This window comes from Homo sapiens, chromosome 18 (genome assembly GCF_000001405.40).
Source record: "Homo sapiens chromosome 18, GRCh38.p14 Primary Assembly".
Classification (NCBI taxonomy): domain Eukaryota; kingdom Metazoa; phylum Chordata; class Mammalia; order Primates; family Hominidae; genus Homo; species Homo sapiens.
The window spans coordinates 2,433,752-2,436,640 of record NC_000018.10 but is presented as its reverse complement, the minus strand read 5'-3'; positions in this window follow the sequence as shown (position 1 = coordinate 2,436,640).

Genomic DNA, 2,889 nt, shown 5'->3' with positions numbered 1-2,889 from the left:
TAGTTATACACAAATTCTTGATTTTGAGTGAGTAACTATTAAGTGAATAATGTCCTAAGCAATTTTTCAAAGGAAGGTAGCCTGTCATAGTAATGAAGAAGGAGGCCTTTATAGTTGTATAGATCTGAGTTTGAAATCTAGCTCAATCCATGCTAGCTCTGTGACTTTAGAGTATTTAGTTAAACTCTCCAAGCTTTAGTTTCTTCATTTCTAAAATTGGATAATGATACCTATTTATAGGATTGTTCTGAGATTTAAATTAACATGTATGATATCCTTAGATCAGAGTATCATGTCTGTATACTCATACATGACAGTCACTGTGATTCACAAGCAGAGGCATTACTTAGGAAATGTCACGACTCTGTGCAAGCAAAGAATCTATCTTCACATCTAATTTCAAGTAGAAAAGTAAATGTTCTATATGTGCATTTAACAAATGTTTACTGACTGTGTGCTGAGCCAGGTGTTGTCTCAATTAGGATAATGAACAACACATTAGAAAATGGTACTATCAAGATGCTTACATTAAATAAAGAACAAACAGACAGAGATATGAAGATACATGAGCAAAATCTAAATTATGTTAGATCATGATGACTGATAAAGAGGAACTAAAGTAAGGGGGATAGACAATGCTGGCGGAAAACTGAAATTTTAGATAGTATTGTTGGGGAAATCTTCACTAAGAGGGTAATATTTGAGCAAAGATCTAAAAGAGATGATGGAAAGAGCCATCAGGATATTTGAGGGAACAATTCCTACAAGACTCTAGGTGACAATAAAGCTGGTGTGTTCAAGGAACTGCAAGGAGGCCACTGTGGCTGGAGCAAGATGGGGCTGAGATCAGAGAGTGACAGGAACAGATTGTGTAGAGCCTTACGGATCATTGTAAGGATTTTGGCTTTTGTTTGGAATGGGAAAAGAAGCTATGAAAGACTTTTTAAGCAGAGGAGTGACATGATCTGCCTTCACTTTTAAAAGGAGCACTCCAAGCTATTGTGTTGACTACAGTGCAGAGAGGCAAGGAGGACCAGGGACACCAGCTAGGATGCTCTTGTAATACTCTTGGAAAGAGAGGATGATGGCTTCAACCAAAATGATAGTAGCAGAGAAGATAAGAAGTGGTTGGATTCTAGATAGAATTTGAAGGTAGAGTAGACTGGATTTGCTAATGGATGAGATGTACGGTGTAAGATAAAGAGAGGAATCAAGGATGACTCAATTTGATGTAAGCCACTGAAAGAATAGAATTGCTGTTTATTGAGGTGGGGAAAACTTTGGGGAGAGAAAGTTTGATGGAAAAATCAAGAACTCATTCTTGGACATGTTGTGTTTGAGATGATTATTAGATATCCAAATGAAGACAGTGCAGGAAGAAGTCTAGGCTGGAGAAATTTTTGGAATTACTAGGGCATAGATGGTATTTTGGAATTTTTAAGGCACAAATGGTATTTAAAACAATGAGTCTGGGTAATAATATTGCCTTAGTCCATTTTGTGTTGCTGCAGCAGAATACCACAGATTAAGTAATTTATAATGAACAAAATTAATTAGTTCACAGTTCTGGAGGCTGGGAAGTCCAAGATTAAGGGGCTAGCATCTGACAAGGGCCTTCTTGCTGCATCATCCTATGGCAGAAGGGCAAAGAGAGGGTGAGAGAGAGCAAGCAAGAGGAGGATAAACTTGTCCTTTTATAACAAACCCACTCTCATGATAAAGGCATTAATCAGTTTATGAAGGTTTTGCCCCCCATGATTCAATCACTCTTCAAGGTCCCACTTCCCAACACTTCTCCATTGAGGATTAAGTTTCCAATAAATGAATTTTGGGGGACATATTCAAACTCAAGCCATACTAATTACCTATGGAGTGAGGGTGGAGAGAAAAAAGGAGAGGTCCAAGGACTTACGCCTGAGATACTCCAAAATTTGGAGGACAGGGTAATGAGGAGGAACCAGCAACTAAGTGAGGAGGGACCAGAAAGATGGAGGAAATGCAGCAGTGAGATGCAGAAAGTATTTTACGGATCAGTGGAGTCAAATGCAATAGGACAAAGAAGATGAAGACTGAGAATCACTGGATTCAACAACTGCCATTGGATTTCTTCCCATGAAAGTAAGTTTATTACTCTACATCAGTTGGCCATAGCAAGCATGAAAAATGATGACCCAGCAGAGAGAACACATTCTGGTTAGAAAGTCACAAAGCTGCAGCAGTATAGATTCCTTACCAGAATTTTGTAGAGAAAATTTGAATGAAGCAAAGATTTTCTGAGCAATCAGCCTGTCAAGATTCAGTTAATTCAGCATTTCGACTAATTTGTGTTGGCTATTCTTTGTTGGTGTTAAAGAATAGAGAAAGTTTTAGTTTGTTGCGTGTTTTCTTTTTATGACAGGAGCAAAATTCTTTTATGCTTTTCTGCACTGTAACTAGAAGTGCAACTACAGAATTCAATTTGTTAAGTTTAATAATAAAAGAGATTGATAAAAATCCTTCATTAAAGGAACTTTGACCCAAGGTAATATTCGAAATGTTTAACAATCAGTGTAGTAGAGGACCAATTACATAGTGGCCAGTATACTGCTAGTAAAAGGACTCTGGCCTGTTAAAAAATAATACCATCATGATGAAGAACACGAATATAAAATTGATTATGAAAGTCTCATGAACTAGTGAATGAGATTAGCATTTTAAACTCTGTATCTCAAATTAAAGTTTAATCAATACAGCTCTCATTCTGAATGACATTAGCAGTATCAGGTTCAAAGAAACAAATTATTTTTGCCTGCACCTATTATTTGTCTAGTATTTGAGAGAAACTATGCCATGAACCTGTATTTTCTATTTTTCTCATATTTTGATGAGTTATACTCAAAACCAGTTTGA